Source organism: Homo sapiens, chromosome 5 (assembly GCF_000001405.40).
Source record: "Homo sapiens chromosome 5, GRCh38.p14 Primary Assembly".
Lineage (NCBI taxonomy): Eukaryota > Metazoa > Chordata > Mammalia > Primates > Hominidae > Homo > Homo sapiens.
This window is the reverse complement of record NC_000005.10, coordinates 68,148,512-68,172,544: the sequence shown is the minus strand read 5'-3', so window position 1 is coordinate 68,172,544 and position 24,033 is coordinate 68,148,512. Positions and strand designations below refer to the sequence as shown.

The following is a 24,033-nucleotide window of genomic DNA, read 5'->3' as shown; positions in this document are numbered from 1 at the left end:
AGGACACCAAATGGGATGCTGGATCAGTTGCTGAGACAATGGCCAAAGGGTCAGCTGGAGCCCTGCCCAGCAAGATCAAAGGTCTGGAGTCTCTGAGGAATTTTCTTAGAGCACGAAGCACCTCTGGAGCAAGAGATTGTTTCAGCTGTGGCATGACCAATAATTCTCAAGCTGAAAGATTATTTTCTAAGCCATTAATAACAAAAAACATATTTCTATCTGCCATGCCAGAAAAAAAAAAACAAAATTATCTTTCTATTCTCTTTACACAAAATAGTATTATAAAGTTTTGGTTATTTGAGGAACGATCAAAGAGGATAAAGTAAAAAAAGTAGGGAAAAGAAATGTTACATAGGTGGATCAAACAGTGAAGTTATGATAATAACAATAATTCTTAATACTAATGGTAATGATGCTATTTTTCTGGATGCTTTTTAAAGTTTGTCATTTGTTATGGTTTCTTCTCTTATTCTAAGTAGATATTTACTCTTGGGCTTAATTTCATATTCTTTTTCATAAAGAGGGCTCCATATTTTATAAGCTTTGCAATAACCTGGATCTACCCTTGACCGAGTTCCTTTTCTTGAAGAGTGGGGCAGGAATCACTAAAATCACAAGAAACCAATTCCTACAACTTTTCTTTGCTCCATTAAATCCTTACCCTCTCCTATTTGATCTTGAATCTATTATAGAAGCTTAGAAGATTCAAATGCCAATAAGGAGTGTTCAAAATATCTAAATCCATGACTTGCCTGACCCAATCTCATTGAAAAAGCAAAGCATTAACTCTGTCTTCCTAATTTGGAAGAAGACAGGTTTGCCTGGATCAGTTTTTGGAAAGGAATTACTTTAGAAATACCGATCTCCGAAAAAAATAGAAGAGCATATCATTTCGTTTGTATGTTTCTTTTGAAATTAGTTATTAATACAGAGGCAATCACTTTTGAATGTCTTTGTACCGTACACCAACCCATATTTTCCATCTATTCAGGAGGGAAGAGCAAGGCTGAGAGCCAGCAAAGGGCAAAGAAATGACTGCCCATTTTGTTGCAACACCAAAAAACTCTTGATTTATCAGTGTGTTTGACATACTCTTTTTCGGCGGGGTGGGGAGGAGGTGATGGGCTGGTGGAAATAAAGACTTGTAAATTTTGTAAATGCGAGTCCTCTAAAGTAGGCCAATTGGTCAGCTGCAAACTTGGCAGCATCGTGAAGCATGTGTGCTGGGCAGCTTCGGAACACGATGTTCTGTTTCACTTCTGAGAGCAGGGGAAAATGGAATAAGGGCTCAACCCAGGACAGAGAGAGAGAGAGCTCAGCAGCGACCTGCGAAAGGGCCCAAAGACAAAGGAAACAGTAAAGAATAAAAGCCCAGCATCATTAGACTGCTGACCACAACGCTGAAAAAAGAGAGAGAGAAAGAATGTGAAAGTGTCTGAGAGAGGTGCTGTGGTTCTGATGCTTGCTGAAGCTAAGTTCTGGAAAATTCAGAGCAGTTGTGTGATTGATGATTAAAAGTAATAACTCAGTGTTTTATGTAAGAGTAATGATGAAATTTCGTAAAAGTTCTTGGAAATAATGCTGAATCTTATTGAGTCTACAAACCTTGAACCATAAAACAAAGTGTGGCATGAAGGAAAAAAAAGTTTGAAACACAGACTCCTATAGCTCCAAATTTAAAAAGAACTTGTTAGGGCTTTTTTTTTTTTTAAACTAAATTTACATTTCATATTGTTTTAATAAATATTCGGCTACTAAATAATAATATATAACTTATAAAAATAACAAAGTGTTTGGCATATTTGAGTAGTCACCCTTCTCAGATATTTTCAAATGATTTATGAGTAAATAAACTGAATAAAGTGCAAAAAAATATGGACTTGTGTTAACAGTTCAACAAAAACAGGTACTAATAGTAAAGTATACGTTAATTCATAAAACATTTTGTTTAATGGCACCAACTGCTCATATCTTGAGATTGGTTCTTTCTTTTAATTAAGTGATTTTGAATTATGTCATGGTGACATTCTATTAGAATCATTTATAACTGATAGCATGTAATGAATAACCACATATATTTGTCTTCAAATATCTGGTGTTATCATAAACTTGAAAGGACAGAGATCAAGCAAGTGATAATTGCTTAATTCCATATGTACACTATCATTTAAACATATTAAGTTGAAAATAAATTCTTAAGGAATATCTCCATCTTGATTTATTGCACAGAAGTTCAAGTATAAATGCAAAAATGGTTATTACTCAGTGGCACCTCTTCTTCCTCCATGTATGTGCCAAAAGAGAAAGACAAAAGAAAAAAAAAGCCACCTATTTATTAGTGTAAAAAGGAGACTATGGTGGCCAAAAGACTCAGCTGGTCTTTGTAAAGGAGTTTATAGCTTTCAGCTGAAATCTCTAAGTGAGAATTCTCATTCCCAGCTGCTGGCTCCCTGGGAGCTCTCCGTGGCCTCTGACCTCATTTCCATGGAGACAGAGGTGGGAAGGGTAAAAAATAAGTTAAGGGGGAAACTTTTCTTAAGGCAGTATTTCCAAATCCCCACTCCTCTAACACTAATGACTGTCCAAGTTAAAGCTGGCCACACATCACTATTTGAAATCACTTTCAGTTTTTCAAGGGTGAATGGCTAAAAATGAGGCATTTGATTGTAAAGATACATTTGCAGAAATAAAAGAAAATACCTGACGTATTTGATACTGTTTAATTGAAGCTCTAAATGAAAGCAAAATGGCTGCTAACATTCAACAATGGAGAGAGAATTCTAGCATGTTTTGGGGTCTGGTTTGTGGCCGAGTTCTGTGAATGTTATATGTTAGAGTTCTGCAGACCTCTGTACCTGTGGGGGTTGATGCTCCCTTAAACATAAGAAAAGTGAGATCTTTGTTAGAAGAACTTGAAAAGGGATGATTCTCCTCACATATCCGTTAATCCATTCCCTTGCCTATCAGCCTTTCTTCCTGACCATTTAACTGAAGCTAATAAAAACTATCACGATACTACAACTACTGCTACACCTGGCTACCAGCAGCCATTTTTTTTAAAGTTATTACTGCATTCCTGCTACTGTATGATGTGTTTTCTCACTTTACTGTAGTCTCTTAAGAAAAACTCTTTTTATCTGGGAACAGTTCAAATATACACAAAAGCAGAGAAAATCAAGTGTTGAGCCCCATGTACCCGTCACTCTCTCATGGCAATCATCGATACATGACCACTTCTGTTTTATTCATACCCCCACCCATTCTTCCATTTACGATTTTGAAGCAAATCTTATATATTTTTATCCATGAATATTTTAGTTTGTATTTATAGAACACAGGACTCATTAAAATTAAACACAATAGGCTGGGCACAGTGGCTCAAGCCTGTAATGTTAGCATTTTGGAAGGCCGAGGCAGGCAGATCCTTTGAGTCCAGGAGTTGGAGATCAGCCTGAGCAATGTGGCAGAACTGCATCTCTACCAAAAGAAAAAAAAAAGCCAGGGTGTGGTGGCACATGCCTGTAGTCCCAGTTATTTGGGAGGCTGAAGTGGGAGAATTGCTTGAGCCCAGGAGGCAGAGGTTGCAGTGAGCGTAGAGATTACACCACTGCACGCCAGCCTGGGCAACAGAGCGAGACTCTGTCTCTAAAAAATAAAAATAAACTCAGTATGATTATCACACCTAAAATATCAAGAATTTCCTACTATCAACAAATATCAAGTTAGTAAGTCTGTTTTCTGAATTAATTATTATTGTTGCTGTTATACTATTATTCACATTTTACAAATACAAAACTGAGGGAAAGAAAAGTTTAAAATCCTGCACAATATCTCACAGAAGATATGGAGGCAAGCATGGGTTAAAATCCAGATATAGGGCAGGCGCAGTGGCTCACACCTATAATCCCAGCACTTTGGGAGGCCAAGGTGGGAGGATCACAAGGTCAGGAGTTCAAGACCAGCCTGGCCAGTATGGTGACACCCCTTCTGTACCAAAAATACAAAAACGAGCCGGGCGTGGTGGCAGGCGCCTGTAGTCCCAGCTACTCGGGAGGCTGAGGCAGGATAATCACTTGAACCCAGGAGGGGAGATTGCAGTCAGCCGAGATCGCACCACTGCACTCCAGCCTGGGCTACAGAGCAAGACTTGGTCTAAAAAAAAAAACCGGATATAGCTGAGTATAAAGCCTGTGTTTAGTTGGGTAAGTAAGCTCCGAAAGTCACAAGGGTAACAGCAATAAAATAATGATAGCTAACTTTTTTTGTACTTATGATGACTAAACTTTGTTCTAATTCCTTGTTTTAACTCATTTGATTTTCACAATAACCCTTTGAGGTAGGTGCTATTATTCCCATTTTACAGATGAGGAAATGAAGGAACACAGGAGTTAGGCAACAGCTAGCAAGCAGTGCATCCAGTCAGGGGCACATTCAGTCACTCGCCTGCTTATTCATTCATTCATTGGCTTTTCTTCTTATATATCTTCATAGCTATGAATCTGTGCATCTACATGTCTACTTATTTGAATAGATAATATATTCTCATGGCTCAAAACTCAAGAGGTTCAAAATGGTACATACGGAAAAATCTGTGTTACCTCTGTCCCAACCATTCAGTTTCTATCCCCAGAGGCATCAATATTTTTGGTTTCCTGGGTATCCTTTTGTAGATATCTTATGCACATACAAGTAAATTCACATCCTTCTCCTCCTTTTTTTTTTTTTTGAAACAGAATCTTGCTTTGTTACCCAGGCTGGAGTGCAGTGGCACAGTCTCAGCTCACTGCAACCTCTGCCTCCCAGGTTCAAGCAATTCACCTGCCTCAGCCTCACTAGTAGCTGGGATTACTGGCACTCGCCACCATGCCTGGCTAATTTTTGTAATTTTAGTAGAGACAGGGTTTCACCATGTTGGTCAGGCTGGTCTTGAACTGCTGACCTCAAGCAATCCACCTGCCTCGGCCTCCCAAACTGCTGGGATTGCAGGCGTGAGCCACCACGCCTAGGCTCCTCCTATTTTTACATGGAAGGCAGCACACTAGACAAAGGTTTTGCATTTACAGTTTTTCACTTAGCATATTTTGGAACTTCATCACTCTCTTTTACACAGAGTCCATGCTACTCCAACCTGCCCATTAATACTGGCAAGCAAACCCAGGTCTGAATTTCTAAGTCTTTAAATTTTAACTGCCATGTAAATATTTAATGATGAATTGGAACTTCCATGTTTTCCCAGCTCAGACTTTGAGCCTGCCTAAGCGCTCTTTAAAATCAATTCATTCTGCTATCATTGCTTCAAGCAATGGCCTGAAACTTACTCTAAAAGCAAAGCACATTGACTTATGTTCCCTGAGATCCTAGCAAAGTTTTATTTAAAAATAATCCAATGTTGTAATCAACTAGCCTTTAGTTGTTCTTCAATTTATTCCTTTCATTTTGTGGTTACAATTTAAACTGTTCTCAAAAAGGACATACGATGGCTTGCAGTAAAATAGACTATCAATTGATGTAGTGAAATACAAATAACAGATAAAGATGGACAAAATATTGTTAAATGTTTCTTCTGAGAATTTCTAATCACACGGGTTTGGGACCATAATTGCCAATATCTGTATGGTATTTAAAAAGATCCTGGCCAGGCACAGTGGGTCATGCTTGTAATCCTAGCACTTTGGGAGGCCAAGGCTGGCAGATCACCTGAGGTCAGGAGTTAGAGACCAGCCTGGCCAACATGGCAAAACCTTGTCTTTATTAAAAATACAAAAATTAGCCAGGCGTGGTGGTGAGCACCTGCAGTCCCAGCTGCTCGGGAGGCTGAGGAATGAGAATCTCTTGAACCTGGGAGGTGGAGGCTACAGTGAGTTGAGATCGTGCCACTGTACTACAGCCAGGGCAACAGATCGAGACCCTGTAATGATTTAAAAAAAAAAGAAAAAGATCCCAAATTGGTATTGCTCCTTAAATTCAGATCTCAAATGGACTTCTACATGTTGAATTCCATGGAATATCTGGCATCAACATTCTCTCTCTTACTTTCTGTACACACACACACACACACACACACACACACACAAACACACACAGACATACATACAAATAATAACTTGGAGAGACAAGCCACCATGAATAAGAATCAGCAAAACAGGAAACTATAGAAACGGACCCACAAAGATGGTAGATATTGGAATTATCAGATAAAAATATAGTTAGAAATAGAAAGACTTCAAAAGGAATGAAAATATAAGAGAGATCAGGAGATACTGAGGATGAGGCGAGATAATCTAATGTAATCAGATTTCTAAAAAGATAATAGGAAGAATGAAGAAAAACAATATTTGAAAGAAAACAATAAAAAATTTAACAGACTTTAAGTTATATAAAAATTGTAGAGTTGAATTGTTATATCTATTACAAGACTAATTCTTAGATTCAGACATCCCAACAAATCTCAAGCAAGTTAAATAGAAATCTATACTTAGACACTTATAGGGAAACTATGAAAGTAAAACAAAAAAGAAAAAGAAATCCATTAGAAAGAATGAGAAAGCTTTACTACCAAAGAAGAACAATTAATTTGACAGTTGACTTGCAACATGGAAGTGAGAAGACAGTGGAATACTATTTTTAAATTGTTGGAGATAAAATAACCATGATCATATAATTGTTTACATAGTAAAACTACCATTTAATAGAAAGATGAAATAAAGAATTTTTCATACAAATATTGAGAAAGTTTACCACCATCAAAACTTAAAAGATTTGATGAACTCCTACGTGATAGATTTTGTAAAGAAGAAAATGGATCTTGGAGGATCTCAATTTCAAGAAAATAATATGCTAATATCTAAAAGCAAAGATGGAATTAAACAATAACATCTAATTTCTGGAGTTGCAAATAAATTTTAAAACAAAATGCTCGATTAAGAAATCACATATCTGCCAGGCGCATGCCTGTAATCCCAGCACTTTGGGAGGAGGAGGCGGGCGGATCACGAGGTCAGGAGATCAAGACCATCCTAGTTAACACAATGAAACCCCGTCTCTACTAAAAATACAAAAAATTAGCCGGGCGTGGTGGCAGGCGCCTGTAATCTCAGCTACTTGGGAGGCTGAGGCAGTAGAATGGCGTGAACCCGGGAGGCAGAGCTTGCAGTGAGCCGAGATCTGGCCACTGCACTCCAGCCTGGGCGACAGAGCGAGACTCCATCTCAAAACGGCAACAAAAACAAAACAAAACAAGAAGAAATCATATGTCAGGAGAAATGCCATTTAACATTAAAACATCATAAGCTTCTTATACTCTTCAGATTAGAAGTATTAATTAAATTTGGACTTTTGAAAATTAAATATGCAAGTTAAAAATTTTAGGATAACCACAAAAACTACAGTGGAAAAAATGGAATGAAGAAAAACTAAATCTGAAACAACCCAAAGAAGTAAAAATGGGGAAAAGCAAAACAAAACAAAAAAAATCGACCAGGCACAGCGGCTCATGCCTATAATCCCAGCACTTTGGGAGGCCGAGGCGGGTGGATCACCTGAGGTCAGGATTCGAGAGCAGCCTGGCCAACATGGAGAAACCCTGTCTCTATTAAAAATACAAAAATTATCCGGGCATGGTAGCAAGTTCCTGTAGTCCCAGCTACTCGGGAGGCTGAGGTAGGAGAATCACTTGAACCCGGGAGGCGGAGGTTGCAGTGAGCTGAGATCATGCCACTGCACTCCAGCCTGGGTGACAGAGCAAGACTGTCTCAAAAAAAAAAAAAAAAAAGAAAGAAAGAAAGAAAAAGAAAAATCGGAGTGTATAGACTGTGAAAGTGAGATGGTAGAAATGAATTAAAAGGTAGGTGGACTAAAATCCCCAATTATGATACTATCAGATTGAATTTTTTTAAAAAGGTAATTCACTATTTTACAAATGCCACATTCAGCCAAAACTTAAGTGCAGAGAAAGATTTAAAGTCAAAAGATGGAAAACTAGACAATAAGCAGATATCAAAAGAAAGTTAGCAAGACTATTTTAGTATCAAAGTAGACTTTAAGCCTGAAAGCCTTTACCAAATATACTGAAATAGTTTTAATTAATCAGGAAGATATAGCTACTCTAATTCATATAGTGCAATAATATGGCTTCAGAATATATAAAATAAATATGAAAAGAGCTACAAGGAGAAACTGACATGACAAATCCGTTGTCACACTGTATCTGCAGTTCTCAAACTTCAGTGAGCATTCGAGTCACCTTGATGGCTTGTTAAAACACAGATTGCAGCCAGGTGTGGTGGCTTTGGGAAGCTGAGGTGGGCAGATCACCTGAAGTCAGGAGTTTGAGACCAGCCTGGCCAACATGGTGAAACACTGTCTCTACTAAAAATACAAACAATAGCTAGACGTGGTAGTGCATGCCTGTAATCCCAGTTATTCAGGAGGCTGAGGCAGGAGAATTGCTTGAACCCTGGGGGCAGAGGTTGCAGTGAGCCAAGATGGTGCCCTGCACCCCAGCCTGGGTAACAGAGCAAGACTCCATCTTAAAAAAAAAGCAAAAAACCAAAAAAACAAAACACAGATTGCTGGGTCCCACCCTGGGAGTTTTTGAGTTTTTGATTCCGTAGGTTGAGTAGGGCCTGAGAATTCCCATTCCCAGAATGTTCTCCCCTTGAGAACTAGTACTGCACAGAAGTCCTGCACGTATGCACCAAGAAAGTTTATAGTATAGTATAGAATGTATATATAAGAAAGTTTATAGAAGCATCGACCATCACAGAAAAGTATTGGCAACAACCCATAATGGCAATCAACAACAGAAACGATAAATAACTCATAGTATATTAAGACAATTGGACATTATATAGTAATGACAAAGAATGAACTACAGCTTTGTGCACCACTATAGCTAATTATCACAATATTTGAGCAAAAGAAGAAAATTTGAGAAAAATAAAGTTCCAGGGGAAACAAATTAAGACATTGTTTAGGGATATATCTAGTTATGATAAAACCATAAAGAAAAGCAAGAATAGGAGTAACCCAAAATAGGATAGCAATTTTCTCTGTAGGGTGGGGAGAGAAGATGCAGTCATGAAGAGTAATGTTCTATTTCTTAAGCTAAGAGGTGAGTTATTGGATGTTTATTTTATTCTAAGTTGTAAGGATAAATGATGCATACTTTTTGTATCTAAGGTAGATCTCTCAAAAACGCTAAAAGATAATGAAACCAGATCGTATACAGTAAGAAGCAATCACTTCCAATTGAAAAGGGCAAGAGTAGTTTCCACAGGGAATTGGGTTTTGAACTATTATCAAAAATTTGATAGGCAAAGCTCTGGAAGGAGAAGGGGAGAAAGAAATTTTAACTTTGGCCAAATGGCATAATCAAATCATAAGAAGTAGACCAGTCTGTCTAGAGAGAATTGTTCATATGGGATATGTCAAGCAGATCAGGTTGGAAAGGAAGTTAGATCAAATTCTTTTTTTTTTTTTTTTTTTTTGAGGCAGAGTTTCTTACTGTTGCCCGAGCTGGAGTGCAATGGCTCCATCTCGGCTCACTGCAACCTCTGCCTCCTAGGTTCAAGCGATTCTCCTGTCTCAGCCTTCCGAGTAGCTGGGATTACAGGTGCCCGCCACCACATCTGACTAATTTTTATAATTTTAGTAGAGACGGGGTTTCACTATGTTGGCCAGGCTGGTCTTGAACTCCTGACCTCGTAATCTGCCTGTCTTGCCCTCCCCAAGTGCTGGGATTACAGGCGTGAGCCACAGTGCCTGGCCCAAATTCTTAATTCAATTAACTATATATGAATTTTGAGAAGATAAGACACACTGCAGATACATTCTTATGGGAGAAGGTCAAAGAAAGTCTGACGTGTGGCTGCTCTCTGTGCCTACATAGAAAAAATTCAAATAGTATATATAGTTTACCACAAACTTTTAGGCAAAAGCCTGATTATGTAGTCAGATCCATCTATGTGCAAAGTAAAACATCTTTGACTTACTAACTTATTTTTAATTTTTTTTTTTTTTTGAGACGGAGTCTTGCTTTGTCGCCTAGGCTGGAGTGCAGTGGCACGATCTTGGCTCACTGCAACCTCCACCTCCCAGGTTCATGCCATTCTCCAGCCTCAGCCTCCAAAGTAGCTGGGACTGCAGGAGCCTGCCACCATGCGTGGCTAATTTTTTGTATTTTTAGTAGAGACGGGGTTTCACTGTGTTAACTAGGATGGTCTTGATCTCCTTACCTCGTGATCCACCCGCCTCAGCCTTCCAAAGTGCTGGGATTACAGGCGTGAGCCACCGTGCCTGGCCTTATTTTTAATTTTTATTAGGTAATTTGAGGTAATATATGTAGGCATTTTTTTAACTTGATCACTCTATAAGGTTTACAAGGAAAAAGAATTAATCTTGTCTAACCCTGCCCATTCCTGAGTTCCACTACCTAGAGGAACTACTTTCAACTTTCAGGCTTTTCTGATTTTAAATTCCATTTTTGAAGAAACATGCTTATATTGCTACTTCTTGATTTAGACATGATTTTCTCTATTAAATTAGGATTTAGTTCTTTAATAACTACCATCCCTAGACTTTACTGCACACAATTACTTCTTCATCTTTATGTTCCCAACATAAATCTTTCACAATTTTTAGCCAAGTCAGAGTACAGTATTTACATTATTTTGATCATGTAAGTATTGTTCTCGGTTGAGCCATGTGGTACCCTGTGAACACATTTTTTCCTTGTATAACTTCTAAATTTTACAGGGGTTAATTGCTTCTTTTGTATTTATAATTTTCTATTCACATAGCAATAAGTTATCCCTAAATTCTCCATTCAAGTGTCTAACATGCCCCTCAATGTTGTCAAATTTAATTGGTAATTTCTATGTTCCATTTTTCCCCCCTTGAAGACATCCCTCTTGGAGTACTCCATCTTCTTATTCCAATCTGGCTTACTGAAGAGTTGTTATCCCCAGACTTCCTTGACTATCATCCTAGAAATTCTCATCACTTCTTTTCTTCTGTGGGATACCATCTTCCTTTTTTCTCCTGTGTGCTTAGGGTGGGGCTTGTCATATGGTAGGCCTTTCTGTACACAAGGCCCATCTGGTTCTTTGTGGAATCCCAAATGCCAGTTATCTTTAAGATTTATCTCTTGGGCTTATCAGCTTTCTCAGACAGAATCATTCAGTTGCCTGATGGTAGGGTGTGCATGAAAGACCGGCAGCAAGCGTTTTGGAAAGGCCTTGGGGAAGGGGCGGGTTTACTCTTCAGTATGCAGATGTTTCCTTAATCACTCTGTTTTCAATAAAGAGCCTTACTTTCACCTTCAAATGTTCCAGGGGTCTAAAAAATTGCCCTCTCCAGTCTAGATGGATGAAGGTTGAGAGTCATCTCATCAGATCATAAAACTACCAAGATCGTAAAAGAGGTCAATCAGTTAAGTTTTATAGTCAACAAATATTTATTGAGTGCCTAATTTGAACAAGGCATTGTGTTAGAAATTGAGAGAATGCACACTTCCTTACCAAATTCCTTGGAACTGCGACCTACTCTTTGAGAAAAAAAAAAAAAAAAAAAAAAATCAAGTTTTCTACAAATCCCAGAAAGGAGTGCTCACACACAAGGTTTTGAAACTCATTACTCCAAGAGGGTCTAGGCCAAATGTGGAAACAGTTTCAAAAAAGATATAGGAAAGTACATAATTGTCAGCTCCATCGAGACAAACTAAAATGTTGTGGAAATATTTCTAACCTCTGAGACTCTTGACAAAGAGAGCAAACAAGTCTTTCAACAATTTCTTTCTTTTTTTTTTTTTTTTTTGAAACGGAGTCTTGCTCTGTCACCCAGGTTGAGGTTCAGTGGTGTGATCTCTGCTCACTGCCACCTCCGCCTCCCGAGTTCAAGTGATTCTCCTGCCTCAGCCTCCTGAGTAGCTGGGATTACAGGCACCCACCACCACATCTGGCTAATTTTTGTATTTTTTAGAGACAAGTTTTCACCATGTTGGCCAGGCTAGTCTCGAATTCCTGACCTCAAGTGATCCACCTGTCCACCTGCCTCAGCCTCCCAAGTGCTGGGATTATAGGCGTGAGCCACCGTGCCCAGCAGTCTTTCAACAATTTTGATTGGTAGTGAGAGGTATGTTCCTGCAATGCTACATGCAGTTCCTAGAATATACTAAATTCTACTTTGATGAAGTGTATCTACTATCGTGCAAGTCTGTCAGCAGATATTTTCTATATCGTTCAAATTAAGTGTGGAGCGGAATGATCTTCATAGACCAGCAGTTCTCAAAGTGTAGTCTTTGGGCCTCTGGGGGTCCCCAAGGTCAAAACTAGTTTTTATAGTAATACTAAGACATTGTTTGCCTTAGTATTAATAATATTAGTATTATTAATAATAGCCTTTCTCATTGTGTTGATATTTACATCAATGGTGTTTGTGCTTTAGCGTAAACCATAACAGTAGCATAAAACTATGCCAGCAGATACTGTATTCTTCACCACAAGGCTCTTGCAGAAAAAAAAAAAAAAACAAACCAGTTTCACTGTTTCACTTAAGAATGTCGTTGAGCTTTTTCCTCTCTTCAGCGCGGGGTGCCCACAAGTTGCGCGCTCTCTTTCTGCTGCTCCCCAGCTCTCAGATACAGCCGACACCATGGGTTTCGGAGACCTGAAAAGTCCCGCGGGCCTCCAGGTGCTCAACGATTACCTGGTGGACAAGAGCTACATTGAGGGGTATGTGCCATCACAAGCAGATGTGGCAATATTTGAAGCCGTGTCCGGCCCACAGCCTGCTGGCTTGTGTCATGCCCTACGTTGGTATAATCATGTCAAGTCTTATGAAAAGGAAAAGGCCAGCCTGCCAGGAGTGAAGAAAGCTTTGGGCAAGTATGGTCCTGCCAATGTGGAAGACGCTACAGGAAGTGGAGGTACAGATAGTAAAGATGATGATGACATTGATCTCTTTGGATCTGATGATGAGGAGGAAAGTGAAGAAGCAAAGAGGCTAAGGGAAGAAAGTCTTGCACAATATGAATCAAAGTTAGCCAAAAACCCTGCACTTGTTGCCAAGTCTTCCATCTTACTAAATGTGAAACCTTGGGATAAGGAGACAGATCTGGCGAAATTAGAGGAGTGCGTCAGAAGCATTCAAGCAGACGGCTTAGTCTGGGGCTCATCTAAACTAGTTCCAGTGGGATACAGAATTAAGAAACCAAATACAGTGTGTAGTTGAAGATGATAAAGTTGGAACAGATATTCTGGAGGAGCAGATCACTGCTTTTGAGGACTATGTGCAGTCCATGGATGTGGCTGCTTTCAACAAGATCTAAAATCCATCCTGGATTATGGCATTTAAATAAAAGCTTGATAGATAAAAAAAAAAAAAAAAGAATGTCTTTGAGTGCTCGCTTCAGCAGCACATATACTAAAATTGAAATGCCCCTATGCAAGGATGGCATACACATTTGTGAAGCCGTCTATAGTTTTAAAAAAGAATGTCTTTGAAACAGCATTAAAAAAACTTCTTAAATCTCAACCATTATGTACACTTTAAAAATACTCTGTATGACAAAATGGGAACTGCACAGAAAACGCTGTGGCTGCATGCTGAAGTATGACAGTCGGTGTGAGGAAAAGTGCATGTTTAATTGTATGAGATACAAGCTGAAGAGCCATTTTTCACAATACACTTTTTTTTTTTACTTGAAAGAACAACTGACAGACAAATTATAGTTATTCATACTTGAGTATTTGTCAGACATTTTCTCAAAAATTAATGAAGTGAGTCTGTCACTTCAAGGAAAACAACTGGCGGTATTTGTTGCCAGTGATAAAATTTAAGCTTTCAAGTAAAAAATAGAATATCAGAAAATTCGTATTCACCACTGTGGGCTTGACAACATCCTAATACTTAAGGCTTTGCTGATGAGATTGGTGATGATGTTAACAATGTGATTTAGAAAAAAAAAATGTTTTTAGAGAAGGGGTCTCACTATGTTGCCCAGGCTGGACTAGAACTCCTGGGCTCAAGCGATTCTCCCATCTAAGCCTCTCAAGTAGCAGGGACTACAGGTAAACCTGACTGTGCCCAGCTAACAATTGTAATTTTTTAAAATATTAAAATAATAATAATAATAATAACATTGATAATAAAACACATCAAATTTGGGAAGAACAACGTAAATCACTGAACCAGTATTTTCCAAATGATCAATGCATGGGTAAGAGATCCATTCAAAGTGAAAGATAGACAGAAGAATTTTAATTTGACAAGCAACGTTTAAGAAACTACTACTTGGTGATTTTGGGGTAATATTAAAGAAAAATATCCACAACTATTTAAAAAGGCTATTAAAATACTCCTCCATTTTCCAACTATATCAGCAGAATGAAAGAAGTAGTAGACATGAGAATCCAACTGTCTTCTATTAAGCAAGACATGAAGGTTTTTATTTATTTATTTTAAAATTTTACTTTAAGTTCTGGGATACATGTGCTGAATGTGCAGGTTTGTTACATAGGTATACATGTGCCATTGTGGTTTGCTGCACCCATCAACCTGTCATCTATGTTTTAAGCCCTGCATGCATTAGGTATTTGTCCTAATGCTTTCCCTCCCTTTCCCCCCACCCCTGACAGGCCTCACTGTGTGACGTTCCCCTCCCTGTGTCCATGCATTCTCATTGTTCAACTCCCACTTATGAGTGAGAACATGCCGTGTTTGGTTTTCTGTTCCTGTGTTAGTTTGCTGAGAATGATGGTTTCCAGCTTCATCCATGTCCCTGCAAGAGACATGAACTCATTCTTTTTTATGGCTGCACAGTACTCCATGGTGTATATGTGCCACATTTCCTTTATCTAGTCTATCACCGATGGACATTTGGGTTGGTTCCAAGTCTTTGCTATTGTGAATAGTGCTGCAATAAACATACATGTGCACACAGACATCAACATTTTTGCAATGATGTAACAATGCTACTTTTCTCACTATTTAAAAAAATGCAGTTAATTTTCATCAAATATGCAGTGATTCCTAATTTGGGATGATATTGCCCAACCTCCCCTCCAGGGACACTGGGCAATATCCACAGACATTTTTGGTTGTCCCATTGGGTGGAGGTGGCAGGTAAGGTGTTGCTGGCATCTAGTGTGTAGAGGCCAGGGATGCTATTGAACATCTTATAATGCACAGAACAGCTCCCACAACAGAGTTATCAAGCGCAAAACATCAATAGTGTGGAGGTTGAGAAGCCCTAGACTAAATTATAGAAGACAGATACAAAAGCTGCCTGTCAAAACAAAACAATGAAGCCAAATCACCTAAGTGTATGTATCCAAAATGCTACATTTTAAGGCCAAGATGCATACAGATTAGAGTAAGATACTAGGTTTAAGTCATGAAAGCTGTTTTCTGATTCACTAGAGAGAATAGTTTGTAATTTTTTGTTTTTGTTTTTGGAGGGACTGAGTCTTGCTCTGTCACCCAGGCTGGAGTGCAGTGATGCAATCTGAGTTCACTGCAACCTCTGCCTCCTGGGTTCAAGCGATTCTCCTGCTTCAGCCTCCTGAGTAGCCGGGACTACAGGCAGGTGTCATCACACCCGGCTAATGTTTGTATTTTTAGTAGAGACAAGGTTTCACCATGTTGGCCAGGCTGGTCTCAATCTCCTGACCTCAGGTAATCCACCTGCCTTGGCCTCCCAAAGTGCTGGGATTACAGGTGTGAGCCACCGCACCCGGCCTCAGTCTGTAATTTTCTTTTTTTTTTTTTTTGAGACGGAGTCTTGCACTGTCGCCCAGGCTGGAGTGCAGTGGCACAATCTCAGCTCACTGCAAGCTCTGCCTCTCAGGTTCACTCCATTTTCCTGCCTCAGCCTCCTGAGTAGCTGGGACTACAGGCACCCACCACTATGCCCGGCTAACTTTTTATATTTTTAGTAGACACGGGGTTTCACTGTGTTAGCCAGGATGGTCTTGATCTCCTGACCTCGTGATCTGCCCGCCTCGGCCTCCCAAAGTGCTGGGATTACAGGCGTGAGCCACTGCGCCCGGCCCTCAGCTTGTAATTTTCTACGGGAAAATATAGGGCTAATTTTTAAGCTCTAGTTTATCATTAAAACTAATAGAGTTTTAGAAATTCATTCTATCTCATGTTCAACATATAACTCATGTTTGGTATTGTAATCTGTATTTGTATTTCCGAATACACAGCAAATGTGAGGCCAGCGAATGTGAACATGAAGTAAAAGACACAGTAATTATAGCACCCTGTACTCTGGGCTTTGACTCAAGGCATTGTCTAAGGTTCCTCAAGCATCCATAAAATACAAGACTTAAAGCGTTAGTAAGATGTCATGTTTTTGAAAAATAGAATAGTACTAGAGAATGAAGCTAGTTAATGGTTGTTGGACAAATTAATGACATCATTTTGGTAAGAGAGGATTTATATAACTCCTAAAATCTCACCATAGGTGGGATCATCATATCAGTCAACTAGTCATACCTAAGCGCGGTTTAATTATATCTTCCCAACTATTACTCCTCATCCCGCGGTATGTTGAAGTCCTAACCCCTGATACCTATGAATGTGATTTCATTTAAAAATTGGGTCTTTGCAGATGTAATCAAGTTAAAATGGAGTCATACTGGATTAGGATGGGCCCTAAACCAATCCCGGGTGTATTTATAAGGACTGACAGATTTGGAGACACACACACACAGAGGGAAGAAGGCCACATAAAGACAGAAGCAGAGATTGGAGTGAAACAGCTACCAGCCAAGAATGCCCAGCATTTCTTTTCTTTTTTTTTTTTTTTGAGAGGGAGTCTCGCTCTGTCTCCCACGCTGGGCAGTGGTGCGATCTCGGCTCACTGCAAGATCTGCCTCCCAGGTTCACTCCATTCTCCTGCCTCAGCCTCCCGAGTAGTTGGAACTACAGGCACCCGCCACCACGCCCAGCTAATTTTTTTGTATTTTTAGTAGAGATGGGGTTTCACCGCGTTAGCCAGGATGGTCTCGATCTCCTGACCTCGTGATCTGCCCGCCTCGGCCTCCCAAAGTGCTGGGATTACAGGCGTGAGCCACTGCGCCCGGCCAATGCCCAGCATTTCTAGGACTGCCAGCAACTAGGAAGTGGCAGGGAAGGATTCTTTCCTAGAACCTTCAGAGGGATCATGGCTCTGCCAATTCTGGACTTCTAGAACTGTAATGCAATACATTTCTGTTGTTTTAAGCCACCGAGTTTGTGGTATTTTGTTACAGCAGCCCTAGGAAATTAATAAGCATACCAGTCTATACCAAAGCCTCTTCTTCAAACCTTTTGCAGGTAGTTTAATGGTCTTGGGCTGGGAGAGTCCAGTGATGGGGCATTCACTACCTAACAGAACAGGTAGATTCACTGCTGGCTGGTTTTAAAAGTTATAGAGTTCTTCCTTATAATGAACAGACAGATATGTCTGTTTGGTTGTTTACATTTTTTGTTATTTATTTATTTATTTAGTTAGTTAGAGATGGAGTCTTGCTTGGTCGCCAGGCTGGAGTGCAGTGGTGCGATCTCGGTTCACTGCAACCTCTGCCTCCCTGGTTCAAGGGATTCTCCTGCCTCAGCCTCCTGAGTAGTTGGGACTACAGGCATGCACCACCATGTCTGGCTAATTTTTGTATTTTTAGTAGAGACGGGATTTCACCATGTTGGCCAGGATGGTCTCGGTCTCCTGACCTCATGATCCACCTGCCTCAGCCTCCCAAAGTGCTGGGATTACAGGCATCAGCCACCACGCCTGGCCACATTTTTAAACTTTTATAAACAGTCTAGAACTCTGTCATCTTTAATACATACCATGATATACTTTGGCAAATGACTCACTGAAAGTTCATATTGTTCAAAGACAGAAACTGAAATCCCAAAAGGTCAAATCAAGGCTCTGGTTACTGACCATCTACAAAGCGAGCGGGTAGCTCAACTGGGTGAAATCTCCCTTTGAGGTCAAAGGAAAAACTGTGGCTACCATGAACGAAAATTGGTGACATCACGTCAAATCAGTCACATTCAGTTTTAAAGAAGTTTGCAGAGAGAATTAGGCCGACAGGTTGGGGGCCCAGTTTATAAAAAGGATAAGCAACTTTTAAGCTTTACAAATTTAGTAGCCAAGATAGGATTAGAATCAAGTTCCATATGAAAGAAAACCTCCAGTGGTTTTGTGACTCAACACAGAGTGCCTTCCCTGAGCACAGCATTGGAATAACCGTCATTTAATCCATTGTTTACTGTCCCTTGTGAGGGGAGCTCTTAATAAGGTGTTTAATAAAAGCTCACAAATTAGTTTACTCCCATGCCATTGTATCCTTCTTTCACAGCAATTGAAATTCTATTTATAATAAATTCAATCAGTATTCACGTGGGTGATGCATATATTTCAAAATGTTCAGCTGTAATTTGGATCTAATTAGTTGACACTTTGAGTATTGCCAAAAGTTTTTTTTTTTTTTAATTCAGGAGTGAATTGGCTGTTTCAACAACAAATTCTCAAAAACATCTGTAGAATAAAACCAACTGACAAAAGTATTTATGTTACAGTTTTTCGTTGTGACATAAGGGGACATTCCATTTTATGTGCTTTGCATTTATTGCAAGATGTTGGGCCACAAGATCCTCTGTGGGATGGACTTTCCTCATTATCATCTTGTCTTGTTTCTCCTTTCTTTGTTCCCTTAGATTTACAAGGTGCTTTAGATGGAAAATTCAATAGCTTGATGAGACGCTTTGTTTTGCATCTTGACCTCTCATTATCTTTATACTTGGCCCTCCATACACAAATTTAGAGGATTTTGATCAACAGTGGGTCGAAATATTCAAGAAAAAAAATACAACAATAAAAGTGCAAACAAAAAGCCAATATAGTGTAACAGCTGTTTACATAGCAGTTATACTGTATTAGATATTATAAGTTATCTAGAGATGATTTAAAGTATAAGGGAGGAATGTGGATAGGTTTGATGCAAACACTATGCCAATTTATATCACAGACTTGAGCGTCCCAGGTTTTGGTATCTGAGAGGATCCCGGAACCAATCCCGTCCCCTGGATACTGAGGGCCAACTCTAGTTAATAATGAAAAGCAAGGAAGACAGCCACACTGGAAATCACTTTGAATGTGGAAGAATGCTGACAACAGAGTAGGTGTTGGCTAATTATAATGAAGGTATTGAAGGTGACGATGATGCAAATAACAGCAGCCAACAATGATGGCACTTACTCTGCTCTAGTAACTAAACTAGATATGTTACCTCATCTGGCCCTCTTAACAACTCTGTGAAGTAGGTATGTATTATCCCGATCTTGAAGATGGGAAAACTGGGGCTTTGGGAGGTTAAGTCACTTCCTCAAGGTCTCAAGCTAATAAGTTGAGGGCCACCATTCAAAGCCAGTTCTATCTACCTTGCAGAGTCCATGTCCTTAATCATTACATGACATGGACTCAACTGTGTTTTAGGAGACAACATATGGGTGTGTAGAAAATTCATATTTCTACTCTGTATACTAGTGTGTATTTTCTATATTTCTACAATGCTGTCATTTCAGTCACTGCCTTACTGATTTAGACAAGAGGCAAACTAGCTTTCCCAGGGTAAGAACAATGACATAAAGTGAAAACCTGGCCCTAAAGTCACAGAGAAAGCAGGCACTCAAGAGAATGCGGCCTTCTAGGTCAGTGTCCTCTAGCAGAGGCTAAAAAAACCCCAAGGCAATTACCTCAGCAACTTAGGCACCCCCTCTTCAAGTTTTGTTTAATTCCGTATTTGAGTGAGGGGTAATTTTGTCCAAATATTGTTTCAGTTATTCATTTTGATATGCTAGTAAAAGGAGGCAGACCTATTTCTAAAAATCTGATAAGTAGATCTTCCCACTACCCTACTGGGCTCTGAGATGGGGGGTCAGACTCCAAGGCCCAGTATATTGGTTTTTTTTTTTTTTTTGAGATGGAGTTTTGCTCTTGTTGCCCAGGCTGGAGTGCAATGGGGTTCAATCTTGGCTCACTGCAATCCCCACCTCCCGGGTTCAAGCGATTCTCCCGCCTCAGCCTTCCAAGTAGCTGGGATTACAGGCATGCACCACCTTACCCAGCTAATTATTTTTTGTATTTAGTAGAGACAGGGCTTCGGTATGCTGGTCAGGCTGGTCTCGAACTCCTGACCTCAGGTGATCCACCTGCCTCGGCCTCCCAGAGTGCTGGGATTACAGGCGTGAGCCACCGTGCCCGGCCAGCACAGTGTATTGTATAAGAACTCTAGAGTCAGGTTGTCTGCATTCAATTACCAGTATTGTCGTTTGCTAGTTGCATGATCTTGGATAAGTCTTAACATTTCTTTATGTTTCAGTTCCATTTTCTTAAAACAGTTAATAGTTGTAACTCCTCATAGAGTTGTTGGGTAGATCAAATTAATTCATACATGTAAAACACTGGGAAGAGTGTTTGACATACAGTGAGGGTTCCTTAAGTACTAGCTAGCATCATCATTATTGTCAGCATCACCATCATCATCATCATCATCACCATCACCATCATCATCTCCCAGCCCCTTGTAGGAATCTACGTGTTTGACCCGTTTGTTTTCGCTATAAACTTTGTTTTCACTATGGAAAACTACATAGTCCCAAAGAGCTTCATTTATAGCCCGAAAATTCCTTAGGGAAGTTATAATTGGTATTAGGACCTTAGTAATTATTTATGTTTGTACTCAATAGCACTAATTTTCAGGATAATGTGATGGACAGGCCCCAAATCTAATTTTTATGGAATTAACTTTTTGAAAAGTAATTAGTAAAGAAGTTTGTTTTTTAAGAAACTACTTCTGGCTAAGGATAATGTTTATAAATCATACAGCACAGCAGCTGGCACATAATAGGCACTCAGTAAATGTCACTGTCACTGCGATTAATGTAGCATGTTCATATCTGTTTTGTCGTCCTTATTAGTACTTTATCACATAGGTTACTTTTCTGTTGTGAATATAGTATTTGTTAGAATTTCTGAATACTGGAAATGCTGACTTCTTAAGGTAGAGGAATCATCATTTCTCCTTTTCTGACTTTCTAGCTAAAATATCTCCCTTGTCCTCTTCTATAAGGCTGGAATAAGAAAAACGGAACCTGCGTGTGAAAGAATAAGTCAATTAGAGTGCATACACCCTCCACAATAGCATTCTGTTGGGAGGTGCTTATACCAGAGCTTCCAATTTCGGATTCATCAACAGATCCTGTCTCCTATGTTATTGTGGACATCATTCTATTAACATCAGCTCAAAGAAAGTAAGCACATAAAAGGATTCAAGCTTCAGCCCTTTCTCCATTATGAGAAACGGCAAGCTCTAGGAATAGGCCCACTGGGGTAAATAACCTGCTATAAAGACATTTCCGGCTGGGCGCAGGCTCAAGCCTGTATTTCTAGCACTTTGGGAGGCCGAGATGGGCGGATCACCTGAGGTCAGGGTTTCAAGACCAGCCTGGCCAACATGGGGAAACCCTGTCTCTTCTAGAAATACAAATATTAGCCGGGCATGGTGGCGCATGCCTGTAATCCCAGCTACTCGGGAGGCTGAGGCAGGAGAATCCCTCGAACCTAGGAGTTGGAGGTTGCAGTGAGTCGAGATCATGCCACTGCATTCCAGCCTGGGCAACACAGTGAGACTCTGTCTCAAAAAAAAAAAAAAAAAAAAAAAAAAGACATTTCCTTTACCTGAGCAAATGTATTTTATCTTCATATTTTACTGGAAAATACTGTTTCTACAGTGAGTCTTTTGGCTGTTGCATCGCTCATTACTTTCGATGTAATTTAAAATAAGTTTGTTGCTAAATATTGCATATTAGTTTCAAGAAAAAACAAGGAAATAAAAAAATTATAATCATGTGTAATACTACCATGAAAACATAAACTACTGTTAACATTATTGTATATAGTCTTATAGATTATGTGTGCGTGATCTTTTTATTTGTTTTCATTATTTATATTTTGGGACATTTTGAAGGTTTTCATTTTTATGTAATTACCTCACTTCTCCTTTATAGCCTCTCTATTTGTATCATACTTGTCCTTGCCCACGTTAAGATTGTAATACTTTCAGTTGTATTTTTATCTACTACTATTATGATTTTATTTCTTTCATTAAAATTTTTGATCAATTTGAAATTAGTTTGGTTTATGAGTGAGCCATAAACCGCATTTTAAGTTTATCCAAATGGCTGGCCTATTGCTTAGGCACCACTTACTAAATAATCCATCTTGCCCTGTTGATTTGAGGTGCACCTTATCGAACAGTAAGTTTGTATGTAACCTAAGGCTTGTTTTGGTACTTTGTATTTATTCCATTTTATTGATTCATCTGTCTATTCCTGCATGGAAGCACATTTATTAATTATTATTAATTTAGTGGGTATTTTTATCAAAATTTGGCAATTATATTTATACAGGTTTAATCATGAGTATTCTACCTTTCCCTTTTTAGAAACATTAACTCACTTCAGTGTTTTCACAGGTAATATATGCACAGTGTGTAAATTCAAATGATACAAGATTGTAAAATGTGAAAAGTGAGTCTTCTTCCTTTACTTTCTCTGCCAGTTACTTCCCCACTCTGGAAGCAATTGCTATTTTTCATAGTCTTTCCAGTGCTATTCTATGCATATGTAAGCATAGAAATAAGATACTAAGCTGACACTTTCAGCTAAAACTCTAAGATGACAGATATTAGATATTCAGATACCAACGTGAGTGCCGTATAAAAATAGAAATCTTCAATGGAAACACTCAGAAACCAGTCTCATGAGCCTTAAATTTCTTAGCCAGACTGAGGATATGCAATGGTAGGCTGTTGGCAAAAAATAAACTGAAATAGAGCTATGATTGTGAAGATAATTTCTTCGGATAAAACTGTGCTGTATGTTGCATTTCCCACCAACATCAGGCCTAGAGAGAAGAGCCTTCCATAGCAGTACTTTTGAGAGTTTGATTTGTGGCCTTGCTGAGTGGCAGACACCAGGAACAGTGTTTCACTTTCGCCTGAGAACCAGGGGCAACAGTTGGACTGGCTACTGATAGTGAAGCAATGGGAGTGTGGGCCATGTGGGTTGGGTTTGCATGCTCAGAGTTTGTCAAGGCAAAATATGTGTGAGTGATTTTCCTGCAGCAGATGTGAGCCATGCAGGGGAGACAGATAGAGATAGAGAGAGAGAGAGAGAGAAAGTTTTGTGAGGTCATTAGTCCATTTGTGCTGCCGTAACACCAATACTTGAGACTGAGTCATTTATAAACAATAGATATTTATTTCTCACAGTTCTGGAGGCTGAAAATCTAAGATCAAGGTGCTGGCAGGTTTGGTGTATGCTGAGCATCTGGTCTCTCTGCTTCCAAGATGGTGCCTTGTTGCTATGTCCTCACATGGTGGAAAAAGGAAGGGCAAGAGAGGCACACACTCTCTGAAACCTCTTTCTTTTTTTTGTTTGAGATGGAATTTTGCTCTTGTTGCCCAGACTGGAGTGCAATGGCGTGATCTTGGCTCACTGCAACCTCCACCTCGTGGGTTCAAACGATTCTCCTGACTCAGCCTCCTGAGTAGCTGGGGCTACAGGTGTCACCACACCCGGCTAATTTTGTATTTTTAGTAGAGACAGGGTTCCTCCATTTTGGTCAGGCTGGTCTTGAACTCCAGCCTCAGGTGATCTGCCTGCCTTGACCTCCCAAAGTGCTGGGATTTGAAACCTCTTTTGTAAGGGCATTAACCCATTAGTTAAGGAGGAGATATCATGATTTAATCACTTCACAAAAGACCCTACCTCTTAACACTACCATGCTGGAGATTAAGTTTCAACATGTATTTTGGAGGAAGCACACATTCAAACCAGAGCAGTCATGCATATGCACGATAGTCGATGCAGATGGGCACGAGACTTTAGCAGTTAAAAGATGAGGGTGAACTGCAAGTTTCCCAGGAGGAAGAATGGCAGAGTGCTCCTAAGAGTACATCATTGTATGCATCAGGG

General features: G+C 39.5%; 2 pseudogenes, besides 1 other annotated feature; both read left to right on the top strand.

Moving 5' to 3' along the window:
* On the top strand, positions 12,568-13,370 carry EEF1B2P2 (eukaryotic translation elongation factor 1 beta 2 pseudogene 2; annotated as a pseudogene).
* RNU6-1232P (RNA, U6 small nuclear 1232, pseudogene) lies at positions 13,399-13,484 on the top strand (annotated as a pseudogene).
* Positions 23,358-23,407: an enhancer, noted in NCBI's record as "active region_22629". NCBI's record gives its function as "activates an Ori minimal core promoter by ATAC-STARR-seq in GM12878 lymphoblastoid cells {active_cell/tissue: GM12878}" and the evidence as "EXISTENCE:reporter gene assay evidence [ECO:0000049][PMID:35858748]".